This window comes from Homo sapiens, chromosome 2 (assembly GCF_000001405.40).
Source record: "Homo sapiens chromosome 2, GRCh38.p14 Primary Assembly".
Taxonomy (NCBI): domain Eukaryota; kingdom Metazoa; phylum Chordata; class Mammalia; order Primates; family Hominidae; genus Homo; species Homo sapiens.
This window is the reverse complement of record NC_000002.12, coordinates 201,347,713-201,360,762: the sequence shown is the minus strand read 5'-3', so window position 1 is coordinate 201,360,762 and position 13,050 is coordinate 201,347,713. Positions and strand designations below refer to the sequence as shown.

The 13,050-nt window shown below is 44.9% G+C and overlaps 1 protein-coding gene across 11 annotated transcripts in view; it reads left to right on the top strand.

Annotated features, from left to right (window-relative positions):
* FLACC1 (flagellum associated containing coiled-coil domains 1) overlaps positions 1–13,050 on the top strand; it is a 76,019-nt gene that overhangs the window by 3,527 nt on the left and 59,442 nt on the right. For 6 of the 11 annotated variants that reach the window (NM_001127391.3, XM_011510606.4, NM_139163.4 and 3 more), the window contains exons 1-4: positions 3,418–3,781; positions 9,312–9,471; positions 9,981–10,052; positions 12,461–12,509. In NM_001127391.3, coding sequence (NP_001120863.1) covers positions 9,359–9,471; positions 9,981–10,052; positions 12,461–12,509 — 234 coding nt within the window. In that variant the 5' untranslated portion in view covers positions 3,418–3,781; positions 9,312–9,358. Of the gene's footprint in view, positions 1–3,417; positions 3,782–9,311; positions 9,472–9,980; positions 10,053–12,460; positions 12,664–13,050 lie in introns of those variants that run through there. The other 5 variants (XM_024452696.2, XM_047443393.1, NR_110620.2 and 2 more) reach the window with 4 other exon arrangements.

The window sequence follows — 13,050 nt, the reverse complement described above, 5'->3', positions numbered from 1 at the left end:
CTGTGTGTGCCTGTCCTATGCAGAGCCCTCTAAAGCCCAGGGCTCAGAACAGTGGCCCCTCTTTCTAGGTGCAAGGGTAGCACTACAGGCTTTCACGGGATTCCTGTGGCTACCTGGTCGGGTCTATTCAGGATGATCCATGGGAGTTAGCATAGCACCACTCTAAAGTCAGATGTTGAAAGCCAAAGATCAAAGAGAGTTGAGCAAGTGAGCAAGTTGGAGATAATTACAAGCTTCTTAAGAGAACACTGTCTTTTCCACACTGGGAGTGTTCTCATAGAGCCACAAATAGCGCTCCACAGATGGAAAGCCTCCGAATGCTCCCAGCTGACCATGTTTGCCACTTCGTGAATGCTGCAGCATCACACAAGAGGATATCTATTTCCCCAAGCCCTGTGCAGACCAATTTTGATAATATTGCTGTCAGAATTAAGTTGCAGTTTCTCTCATTCATTTTTCAACTTATACTTTGTTTTACTATTGGTGGCCTCCTCCACCTCTGTTCCAAATAGTAAGACACTTTGCTTTAGGCGAAGTTACTGAGAATGCCAGCACTTCCCCAATTTCATCCAAGAGAAGAGCACTTAACACTTAGCCCCTAAACACCTTCATTTCCTTCTCCTCAGCTGTTTTGGAACTGGCGAAGCTTTACTCATGTCCAAAAAGATGAAAGGAGAATGGGGATACCCAAGTAGTAGTAATTAGTGCTGAGCCTTTGCCAAGTCGAGTGGCTGGGGTATTCCTTCAGCACTTACTTCCTCTGTATCTCTGTTTTTAGCCATGCTTCACTCAAGACCCAAATCCTGCTGCTTTTTTTTTTTAATCATAAGAAAGGATTTAAATATAAAATTTTACACATTAAACACACTCAAAGTAAATATTCAATCTCTGGATGGAGACAGATTGTCTAGATGACTAATAGAGTCTATCAATTCTTCTCTAAGTTATTTCCCTCCTTTTAATCTTTGAAAGTCTCTCTTCATCTAGCCTGTTCATGGTGCTCAGAGTTGAAGCAGCCATAGTGCAACCAAGACGCTTCCCTCCATCAACACACCGAGGCTGGCATAACAGAGAGATGGAAAGAGCCCAGTTCTCCAAGGACATTGCTGAATCTTTGCACCAACTCTGATAGCACTGCCTCCAGACTCTATTTCATGAGGTTAATAAACCTCTTTGATGTAAGCCACTTGCAATCAAGCAACAGGTCTATGCATTTTAACTACACATGGCCCACACTGAGAAATCTTGTCGTAAATACTGGTGTCCTCAGAGCTCTGTTCTAGACCCTCTTCTCTCCTTACACAATACTCTCTCTATATGTGATCTCACTCGCTCCCTTGGCTTGGAATAGTATCCACTCTGAAGACTCCTAAATCTGCTTCTAGGCCAGAATCTTCCTCTGAACTTCTAAAATATGTAAGAAACTCTAACAGACGTCACCACTTGTCTATTAGTCTCCCTGCACCTCAACATATCCAAAACTGAACTAATAATCTGCTCCCTAGAACCTGTTTATCCCTCCACACTTTCCTATCTCAATAAATGGCACCACGGTCAACTCAATTGCTCGAGCTGGAAAGCCAGGAATCATCACCTTCTCCTTTTCGCTCATCCCAGCATCCAGTCAATCACCAAGTTCTATCATGTCTTCTCTCCATCCCCACTGCTGCTCCTCAGTCAGGGCCATCGTCAGGTCCCATGACGACCACTGCCACAGACTTTTACCTGGTTTTCCTGGCCCTTCCAATTGCTTCCCTATATTGCAGTCAGAATGATCTTTCTGATATGTAGATCTAGTCAGATCTCTTCTCTGTTTAACACTGCTGCCTGACTCACTGGACTAGAAGAGTAACTCCTGCTATGAACTCCCACTGCTTCTGGCAAGTCTCAATATGAGTCATTGTGGCTGCATGGTGACTTACACCTGTAATCCCAGCACTTTGGGAGGCCGAAGCAGGAGGATCACTTGAATTCAGGAGTACAAGACCAGCCTGGACAACATAGCAAGGCCTCATGTATACTAAAAGTCAAAAAAATTAGCTGGGCGGCCGGGCGCAGTGGCTCACGCCTGTAATCCCAGCACTTTGGGAGGCCGAGGCGGGCGGATCACGAGGTCAGGAGATCGAGACCATCCCGGCTAAAACGGTGAAACCCCGTCTCTACTAAAAATACAAAAAAATTAGCCGGGCGTAGTGGCGGGCGCCTGTAGTCCCAGCTACTTGGGAGGCTGAGGCAGGAGAATGGCGTGAACCCGGGAGGCGGAGCTTGCAGTGAGCCGAGATCCCGCCACTGCACTCCAGCCTGGGTGACAGAGCGAGACTCCGTCTCAAAAAAAAAAAAAAAAAAAAAAATTAGCTGGGCATGGTGCTGTGCACCTGTGTAGTCCCATCTACTTGGGAGTCTGAGGCAGAAGGATCGCTTGAGTCCAGGAGGTCAAGGCTGCAGTGAGCTATGCATGCAGCCTGCACTGCCACTGCCACTGCACCGCAGCCTGGGTAACAGAGTGAGCTACTGTCTCAAAGGAAAAAAAAATTAATTATGCTTTTATTGAGCTTTTTTATTGTCTGTTTTCTCATTGGTCTCTAAGTTGTATTGAGTATAAGAACTGAGGTATATCCCCACACCTAGCAATAGTGCCTGGCACACAGTAGACAACAAATGTGAAGTTGAGTGAATAGATGAATTTATAACAATATTTTGTAAGCTAGGGGTTGTGACCCACCAGGATCATGAAATCAATCTAGTGGATTATAATCAGCTTTAATTTAAAGAAGAAAAAGAAATAGAAGAGAATAGCAAATAATAAGAGTATTATTTCATGAAATTTTTTTATTACAAAATTTGTAAAATGTATTTCTTATAATGAGTGGCAGTAAAACTAAAATGAAAGCCACTGGGTTGTAATAAGCAAGTACTTTTTTCTATAGTAAGAAAAAGCAGCTTTATTTAAAAAAAAAAATCGGAAAACCTTGTGACTGCAAAAGATTCCTGCCTTGGGGGATTTTTACTTTCACAGATTTCAAAGCCTTAAACTCGAGGGAAAAAAGTGTCTAGAGTTTTAGGTTTCTGTGAGTAGATCACAGAGGAATTAAAAATCCATCACAGATCCTGCCTGGTAACTATTGCCATAGACCAATGAAGCCTAAAAGTGCTGTTGAATTCTATTTCCTCTGAAGATATATCTTAAACTTTTTTGTCCCATGACTGATGACGAAAGTGGAAATCCAGTGTTAAAAGTATGAATTCTTTGCTGTTGAGGGTGGTCACTGATTTGTGTCTTGGAGAATTTAATTGGCTGTTTCTCCCAACCTTCTCTCTTGAAGAAAAGAGCCCTGAGCCAATGAGGAGCTACTGTTCTGTGTCCATAGCAACAAAATAAACAAACTTTGGCCTGCCATCTCCCAAGGGCAAACCTCACAACTCAGGCCCAAGTCACAGGAATCTGAATGGTGGGGTGACCTTCTCCTCTAGTTTAATTTCATTGCAATACTGAGAAACTTCAACTGTTTTGTCTTTAGAAGGGAAATTCATGTTTGTGCCAGGCCAGCCTTTGTAAAAGCCTTTGATTGGATTCACTAGAAGTCTGTCTTCCCGCAGTACATATACTGTGAATTTTCTCCTTCGGCATTTCAACCACTTGGAATGGCCACTAAAGTGGCTTTTGATCTAAAGTAAACTCTGATTCTGTGTTGATGGGGAACCATTTCTCTCTAACATGGTGGTTTCTTTAAGATGTTTGACTTGGGCCACATGAGAATAACAGATCTTTGGGCAGTCCAAGGTAAGCTCTTTGGAAAAGATGTTTTATATTATTTTTTCTACTGATTATTAATACTAACCAGTAACTTCTCTGAAGCCTCTGCCGGCTCACTGGTGACTATTGTTAGGGCAAGCCTCAGGTAAAATCATCAGGTAGAAGTGCAGGAAAGGGAAAAAAGGGGGAGAAAAAATCCTTACACACACTCACACACCCCTCTATAATTAGAGCTATATGATGTCAAGCCACTGTAAATGCAGATCTATCTGTGATGACATGGAAATATCAACTAGATATCCTGTTACACAAAAAGAACAAGATGCAACATTGTGTGCAAAGTATGCTCTCACTTATGCAAATAATTTAAAAAATCTATTATGCTTCTCTACAGGTTAAGTTCTATATGCAAAACATTTAAGGTTATATGCACTCACAACATTTCTGGAAGGATGCCCCAAAAATCTGTTAGAAGTAGTTCCCACTTAAGAAGCTATGAGAAGTCAAGGGCTGATTTTAGCTACTGAAATATTAAAATACTGCCATATAGGCAGGGCACGGTAGCTCACACCTGTAATCCCAGCACTTTGGGAGGCTGAGATGGGTGGATCACCTGAAGTCAGGAGTTTGAGACCAGCCTGGCCAATATGGTGAAACCCCATCGTTATAAAAATACAAAAATTAGCCAGGCATGGTGGCGGGTGCCTGTAATTCCAGCTACTGGGGAAGCTGAGGCAGGAGAATCGCTTGAACCTCGGAGGTAGAGGTTGCAGTGAGCCAAGACCACACCATTGCACTCCAGCCTAGGCAACAAGAGCAAAACTCCGTCTCAAAACAATAATAATAATAAATAAAATACTGTCATATTGATTGGTAGATGACCATTGTCCAAGCCCCTTGCATGTCCTCCTTGCCACCTTGGTTGTCCCAACTCCTCCCCTGGCACCCCCAGACCACCTCATGATTCAGCAACTAAGGGGTTAATGCCTGGCATGGAGGTGGGAGTGAGATCTCCCAGGACCCTGTTCCAACCCTGGTTGATTATTCAATAGCCTTGTCTTACTGGTTGTTAAATATTTTGAGTATCACTCCCATGGGTGTTCAAAGAAAAAGGCCTTTATTTTTATTTTATTTATTTATTTATTTTTTAGAGACAGGGTCTTGTGCTGTCACCCAGGCTGAAATGCAGTGGTGTGGTCCTAGCTCACTGCAACTTCAAACTCCTGGCCTCAAGTGATCCTCCCGCACCACCTGCCAAGTGGCTGGGACTACAGGCACACTCCACCATACTAGGCTATTTTTAAAATTTTTTGTAGATACAGAGTCTCGATATGTTTCCCAGGCTGGTCTCAAACTCCTAGCCTCAAGCGACTCTCCCACCTCAGTCTCTCAAAGTGTTGGGATTACAGACATGTGCCACCACACCTGTGAGGCCTTCTTTTTTTTTTTTCTTAAGAGCAAAAGAATATATACCAAGACATTGTTTATCATGGGAAAGAGGAAAAGGAAACAACTACACATTCATCAAAGATCATTGAAAATCTATGTAAAACTCCACTGAGTGATTGTATCACCCATACAATTTACCTCTGCTTTCTGGCTTTTGAATGCAAATGTTTAATGTTATTTATAATATGGTAATGACGATTACAACATTTTGGCAGTTTCATCTGTGAATCTCTTTTCTCTTTGTTTTTGTTTTTTGTTTTATTCATTTATTTATTGAGACAGAGTCTTGTTCTGTCATCCAGGCTGGAGTGCAGTGGTGAGATCTCGGCTCACTGCAACCTCCACCTCCCAGGTTCAAGTGATTCTCCTGCCTTAGCCTCCCGAGTAGCTGGGATTACAGGCATGTGCCACCATGCCTGGCTAATTTTTGTGTTTTTAGTAGAGACGGGGTTTCGCCCTGTTGGCTAGGCTGGTCTCGAACTCCTGGCGTCAAGTGATCCTCTCGCCTTGGCCTCCCAAAGTGCTGGAATTACAGGCATCAGCCACCATACCATCTTTTTCTCTTTGTTGAGCTAGCCCCAACCACCATGATGAGCTGATTACAACCACTAAGTTTACTAGTCAGGTAAGAAATATTCATCAAATGCCCGTTGTGGACAAGCCACTTTGCAAGGCTTAGTGGAGGTGTTGAGGCACAGAGAGCACTCCATAGTGGAGTCCTGGCCTTCAAGAAGAGAGAAGGCAGTTGCTAGAAGTGGGCCTGCCTTAGCCTCTCACTTCTTGCCCCATGGACTCCTGCTAAATCTCCCAAGTTCAGGGTTGGCTCCTTTCGTACAGGAAGCAGATACAAGGTTCTAAGCAGAAGCAGTTTCTTTTTTGCTACTGTTGTAGCCTTCTTTCAGACTCTCACCTGAATTCCAGCCCCTTGTAGCATCATCTTCCCACCTGGGCACTCGATCCCATCTGCTTCTCTGACCTCATCTCCTTGACTTGGCCCTAACAGGCCCCCAAACCCAGTGGAGTATGGACAGTTATAAATGGCGGCCCTGTCACCTGCTCTTCAGGCCTTTGCTGTTTAGCCAGTCTCCTGGACTCCTTTCTAGCCCTGGACTCCTTTCTAGCCCTGACCTCTATTGCAGAAGACTCCCTAGTCCCAGGCCTCTGGCCCAGCCAACCCCTGCACACGCTGCCTTTCTTCCAAGGCCAGGTCTCTTGCCTTTGCTCCACTGCTCACTTAGCTCTCTTTCTGCCGACTCCTCTGCTGACTGCAAGCTCCCTGAGGGCAAGGTCCAACCAGCATCTAGCACAGGACTCACAGCACGAGCCTCTAAAGATTTGTACTGTTAAAGCAGCAGTTACAAGTGAGTGAGTTTTAGTATCCTCATATGTAAAACAGATTCAACCTTAAGGTCCTCTGTAGCTCTTAAGGTCATTAGACACCATCAGTGGGTTTCTCAAGCATCAGTCGTGTTGGAGACAAAGGTTGATTTCATTTTTTCAGCAGGTTCTTAAGCAAATGTATTCCAGTGTAATATTGAAAACTAATCATAGACTTAGACATTTGAGTTAAATCTGCTATCACTTTAATGCTTCTGTTAGGCCATTGATTCTTATAACATTTTTGGCATTTGTTTTTATTACTAATGAAATATCCACTGACATGGCTGGGCACAGTGGCTCATGCCTGTAATCCCAGCACTTTGGGAGGCCGAGGCAGGAGAATCCCTTGAGACCAGGAGTGCAAGATCAGCCTGATCAACATGGCGAAACCCAGTCTCTACTAAAAATACAAAACTTAGCCAGGCATAGTGGTGGGCACTTGTAGGAGGCTGGAGGCCTACACCTACAGGAGGCTGAGGCGGGAGAATCGCTTGAACCCAGGAAGCAGACGTTGTAGTGAGCCAAGATTGTGCCACTGCACTCCAGCCTGGGTGACAGAGTGAGACTCTGAAAAGAAAAAAGAAAAGAAAAGAAGAAAAGAGAAAAGAAATATCCACTGACATCATTTAAAAATCAACTAATGTTAAAAATTCATTAAGGAAAAGTCTCAATTTCTGCCCCATCCCCTGACCTGTCAGTTCTACTTCTCAATGTGCTCCTAGAGGCAATTATTTTCAACTCTGCTATCTATTTCTTTGGAATTTTATTTACCTCATACTTCCAAGTAATTTGTCTGTGCTCCGTATGTTAATTTTTCTTTCTGGTACAGCAGATGAGGATTTGGCTCTTATACATCCCCATTCCACTCATTCTTCCCATGTAGTCACAGTTCACTTTTTGGCTAAGTCACTATTAAGTATTTACATTTGATACATATGAGTGTGTGCCATACTATGATTATGTTTACTTTCTCATTCAATATTTTTTAACCTGGAGTAATTGCACATTTTATTTTCTTAGGTTTCTATGTTTCTATTGCCAATCTCTCACCCACACTCCCAAATGCTCTGGTTCTGGTTGCTCTGTAACAAAGTTACCACAAATGTAGTGGCTCAAGCAACAATCTTACAATTCTGAAAGTCAAAGTCCAAAATGAGCCTCACTGAGCTAAAATCAAGAGGTCGGCAGAGCTGCATTCCTTCCGGAGGCTCCAGGGGGAATTCGTTTCCTTGCCTTTTCCAGCTTCTAGATGCTGCCCCGATTCCTTGGCTCCTGGACCTTTTCCTCAATCACTCCTACTTCTTCCTCCATTATCACATCTTCTCTGACTGATAATTCAGGTTAATCTTTCTATCTCAAGATCTTTCATTTAATCACAGCTGCTTTTGCCATGTAAGGTAACATAGTCACACTTTCCAGGGATTAGGACATGCGGTATAGGGAAAGGGACAGTATTCATCCTACCATGTGCTCCTACACATCTACCAGCTGCCTGTCAATATCATCAGGTAATCTACCAGTTCCAAGTCCTGCACCCTCTGGGACCTCTGATGTGTGAATTGGCTCCATCTTGTTCATACCCTGTCTTTGCAGGCACATAGGCTATAGTGAGCTATGGAGAGAGCCCTAGTTACTATGCCAAACATGTACGGACATCCCTTGTGCAATCTTGTCTCCTCTCCCATTTTCTTGCTCTTGTGGAACTAAATCTCTTTTAATGCTGTACTCTAATTTTAGTTGGATTCTGGAAAAGAAAGAAGATAAGCCAGTGTGGTCAAGCCACCATGTTTATCTGATAGTTTTCTTTCATCAAGATTCTCATAATAGGGGTTTTGTTTTTTGGGAGCCAGGGAAGGAGTTTCCACTCTGTAATTCAAGAAGGTGACCAGGAATGAGAAACGAGGAGATTCATTTGCACTGTAGCTCAAGCAGCAGAACTAATTTTCCAGGAAGTTCTGTGCAGAACTTGCTGTGGGAATTTCTCTTCCCTTCAGTGAGAACTGGTGTGGCCTGCTGGAAAGGAAGGAGCTTGGGAGTCAAAGAGATTTGTGTTTGTTTCCAGCTCTGCAACTTGCTGCCGCCGTGACTTCTCTGAGTCTCAGTAGCTTCATCTATAGTATCAGCATAACAATAATTGAGCAGTTTTACCTGGCTCACAGCAAGGACTCGGCTATGGCAAATTTTATTTTATTTTAATTATTTTGTTTTATTTTTATTTGTATCTTATTTTATTTTTTGAGACGAAGTCTCACTCTTCACCCAGGCTGGAGTGCAGTGGCACAATCTCAGCTCACTGCAACCTCTGCCTCCCAGGTTCAAGCAATCCTCCCACCTCAGCCTCCTGAGTAGCTGGGACTATAGGTGTGTGCCACCATGCCCAGCTAATTTTTGTATTTTCAGTAGAGACGGGGTTTCACCATGTTGGCCAGGCTGGTCTCAAACTCCTGACCTCAAGTGATCCATCCACCTCGGCCTCCCAAAGTGCTGGGATTACAGGCGTGAGCCACCATGCCCAGCCAGTTATGGCAAAGTTTAAATTGCTTTCAAGTCAAGTCTACTGAGTAGAAAGGGATGAGCTGTTAACCTATAGTCAAGACCCTGCACCAGATCAACAGCTTCTGGAATCTACCATTGTTCTTTGGGTCCTCCCTGGGTTCTTCCCAATTCTTCTGTATTTTTGCTTTGATTCTAAATGGTTTAACCTTCTGCTGTTGTTTTTCAATTTCAGCAAGAGCCTCCTGATCTAGCAGCCAAGACTCCCCCTGACCTTTGGCCATGTACCCCAACCCTCTCATCTACTGCACCTGCTGGGACCCCTGGAACTTGGGACCACGGAAGCTAATCAAGACCCCTCAACTACCACGCAAGAACTCCACAGGGAGTTCCAAGTAAGAATTATCTGGGATGGGGTAGGCACAGGGACCTTGGGATCCATTTGTAGCCTCATTTCTCTCACAAGATTTCTAAAACAGCAAGTGTGGCAGGAAAATCCCAGGTGGGCCAGAAAGCCTCGCTTTCCCCAGCTTCCCTGCCAGCTGGTTGGCTGCACCCTCATCTTGCCAGCCCTGCCTGGGGTTTGTGCCATTTTAAATGAGGAAGTCTCAGTGTTGGTGCAACGGCAAAGTGCAGCTTCCAACCAAAGGGCCCTGATGGCAGCTGCCGCCTTCATGTGGGATAAAGAGCTTTGGGAATCGGGGGACAAACTCTTCCTGGGACAGTGAACAAGTGCCAGGGCCTTGGGCCTGAGTTTTAAAGGCCTCAGATTTTAAAGATTCCAGCTATCAGATCATGCATTCCAATTTTGGGTCACTATAGGGATGTACTTAATCTGGGAGTGTTAAAAAGGGTTTCCGAATTTCCAATGTTCTTGTTTTAGTTATTTGTTTTTCACTTTCAGGCTAACTCCTCTTGTACCAGCTCCAAAAAATCACAATTACCTCCAACCAACAAAACCTGTTGTTTCCCCAAAGTAAGTATTGTTTTGTTTTGTTTTGTTTTTGAGATGGAGTCTCACTCTGTTGCCCAGGCTAGAGTGCAGTGGTGTAACCTTGGCTCACTGCAACCTCTGCCTCCCAGTCTCAAGCGATTCTCCTGCCTCAGCCTCTCGAGTAGCTGGGAATACAGGTGTGCGCGCCACCATGCCTGGCTACTTTTTTGTATTTTAGTAGAGACGGGGTTTCACCACATTGCCCAGGGTGGTCTTGAACTCCTGAACTCAGGCAATCCACCCGCCTGAGCCTCCCAAAGTGTTGGGATTACAGGTGTGAGCCACTGCACCAAGCAGTTTGTTTGTTTGAGATGGAGTCTTGCTCTGTCACCCAGGCTGGAGCGCAGTGGTGCCATCTTGGCTCATTCCAACCTCCACCTCCCTGGTTCAAACGATTCTCCTGCCTTAGCCTCCTGAGTAGCTGGGATTACAGGCACCCATTACCATGCCCACGTAATTTTTGTATTTGTAGTAACGACGGGGTTTCACCATGTTGGCCAGGCTGGTCTGGAACTCCTGACCTTAAGTGACCAGCCCTCCTCAGCCTTCAAAGTGCTGGGATTACAGTCGTGAGCCACTGTGCCTGGCCCTAAGTATTTTTATGTCCATGAGGCAGAAATGGTTTCAGGCATGTGAATAAAATAATCTCCCTCTCACCTGGCCTGACTTGAACTAATTGATGCCAGGGATGTTAGAGAATTGCCAGAATCGACCTTGATTTCTTGCAAACCTCAGATCCTACATGTAGATTTTGGGGTCCTCTGCATCCACAGCTTCCAAAGTCATTGCATTGTTTGATTCAAAGTCACTGTATCCACTGCTCTCCACAGGGGTGCCCCCAGTAACTGTCTTCTGCCCTGGAGCCCAAAGCTTGATGTGTGCTATTGTCACAGAGCCTTGGCGACCCTCCCGTGCATTTAGGGTGGTGACTCACTCTTTAGCTGATTACTGTCCTGTGTCTAAGATTTTCTATGGGTTGCATCTTGGTTTTAATCACAAATTAAAATTTTTACTCGCATTTTACAAGCTTAGAAATGTACCTTAGTTTTAGGTCTTTGTATGAATCTTTGTATTCCATTAATTTTTTTGGAAAATATTTATTGACCACCTATTATTTATTAGGCACTGTTTCAGGTGCTGGGAAAAGAGCCAGAAACACAATAAAGTCTCCACTCTCCTGGCACTTATATTCTAGTGGGGAAGGAAGGGGAAGAGGACCATAAACTAGTTATTACATCCGAGGTTGGCAAGTGCTACATAGAAAAAAGATGCAGGCAAAGCAGGTAGGGGCTGTGACGGTGGGGATACTTTACGTAGAGAGGTCAGGGCAAGTGCCTGTGTAAAGGGGGCAAAAGGAGCCTCAATGATGCCTGGGGCAAGCACTCTTGGCAGAGGGACCAGCAAGTCCAAAGGCCCTGGGGTGGGAACTTGCTTGGCATGTCTGACCTCTTCCAGGAAGGCAGAAGCCAGTGTGGCATGAGCGGAGCGAGTGAGCAGGGAGTGGTGGGAGATGAGCTCAAAGAAGGTAACAAGGTGATGGGTGTGGTGGGCAGGACAGTGACCCCCTCCCAAGGACGTCTACACCCTAATACCCAGAGACTGTGAATATGTTACTTGCCAAAGAGGAATTAAGGCTGCAGATGGAATTAAGGTTGCTAATCAGCTGACCTTCAGTTGGAGAGATTATCCTGGATTATCCCAGATCCCATGTAATCACAAAGGTCCTTCTTTGTATGTGAAAGAGGAGGTCACAGTGTCAGAGTCAGAGAAGGAGCTGTGACAACAGAAGCAGAGGTTGGAGTGATGCAATTGCTGCTGGCTTTGGAGCTGGAGGGAAAGGCCACTGTGAACATATACACATATGTGGTATTCATTTTATATATAGCATATATAAAGATTTGAATGAAAAACAAGTTTAACTTCAACATTTGTATCTTAATGGGATACATTTCATTTTCTGGAACATTTGTTTATATAGAATGTTTCATTCTCCAATAAAGAGAGTTCCACACAGTTCCCTGAACTGAGTGTGTGTGTGCCCGTTTGTGTGTAAGGGGGTGGTGGGGGGTGTCACCTGACTCACAGAGCCTTGACTCAGGGAGAATATGTAGGGGTCCCTCTAGCTGGTTTATGCTCCTCCAAAACAGAAGTTGCCCCAACATCATAAGACAAGTCTTTTGCCTCCTTGGGCAGGACCTTTTCATGAGCACCCCTACTTTGGGGCCCTCAGGAGCCCGGCTTCAGTGAGTTCCCCAACTATCCTAGGGATCCCCTAAGAAGGTCAGGTCAGAGAGCAGAAGTCAGATGGTGGCGGCCTCAGGGTTCAGCTCCTAAGCTTTGAACTTCTCTTTGCTGTCTGGTTGCTTTCTGAGCATGTCTTTCTCTTGCAGAATGAAAATCCATTCAGCAAGGCAAGAAGAGACTAATAAATCATTTTATGTGAGTAAAGGCAGGAGAGGGCGGTGGGACTAAAATTTATTGAGTGCCTACTATGTGCAAGCATGGGCCCTTTACATTTTTATACTTACCTTGTCGAATCTTCACAAAGATCCTGGGAGGAGGTGCTGTTAATATTGCACATTATGCACGGCAGGTAAGTGGAAGAACCACGACTTGAACTCAGCTCAGCTAGATTCCAGAGTGGGCATTTAATTGCCACTCTCTCCTGCCTTGCACAAGACAAACAGAGTGTCTCAGAGAAACTGGACATGACAGCTAGTCCAGGCCAGTGAACAGCTCATGCCTAGATGCAGGAAGTGCTCTGCTGACCTAGGGAACTAACGAAAGCTGGGGAGAGGCTGCCGGGACCCCTCAGGGGAGCAGGGGCGGGAGGGCACTGGAGAAGGTGATGAGAACCAAACTCGAAGGCTCTTGACGCCTGCCTGGGAGTGTGGGCCCGACCCTTCTGGTGTCTGGGAGCCTTTACTGGTCTGACGCAGGCACAGGACCAAGTAAGAGTTACATTTCAGAAAAAGCACCC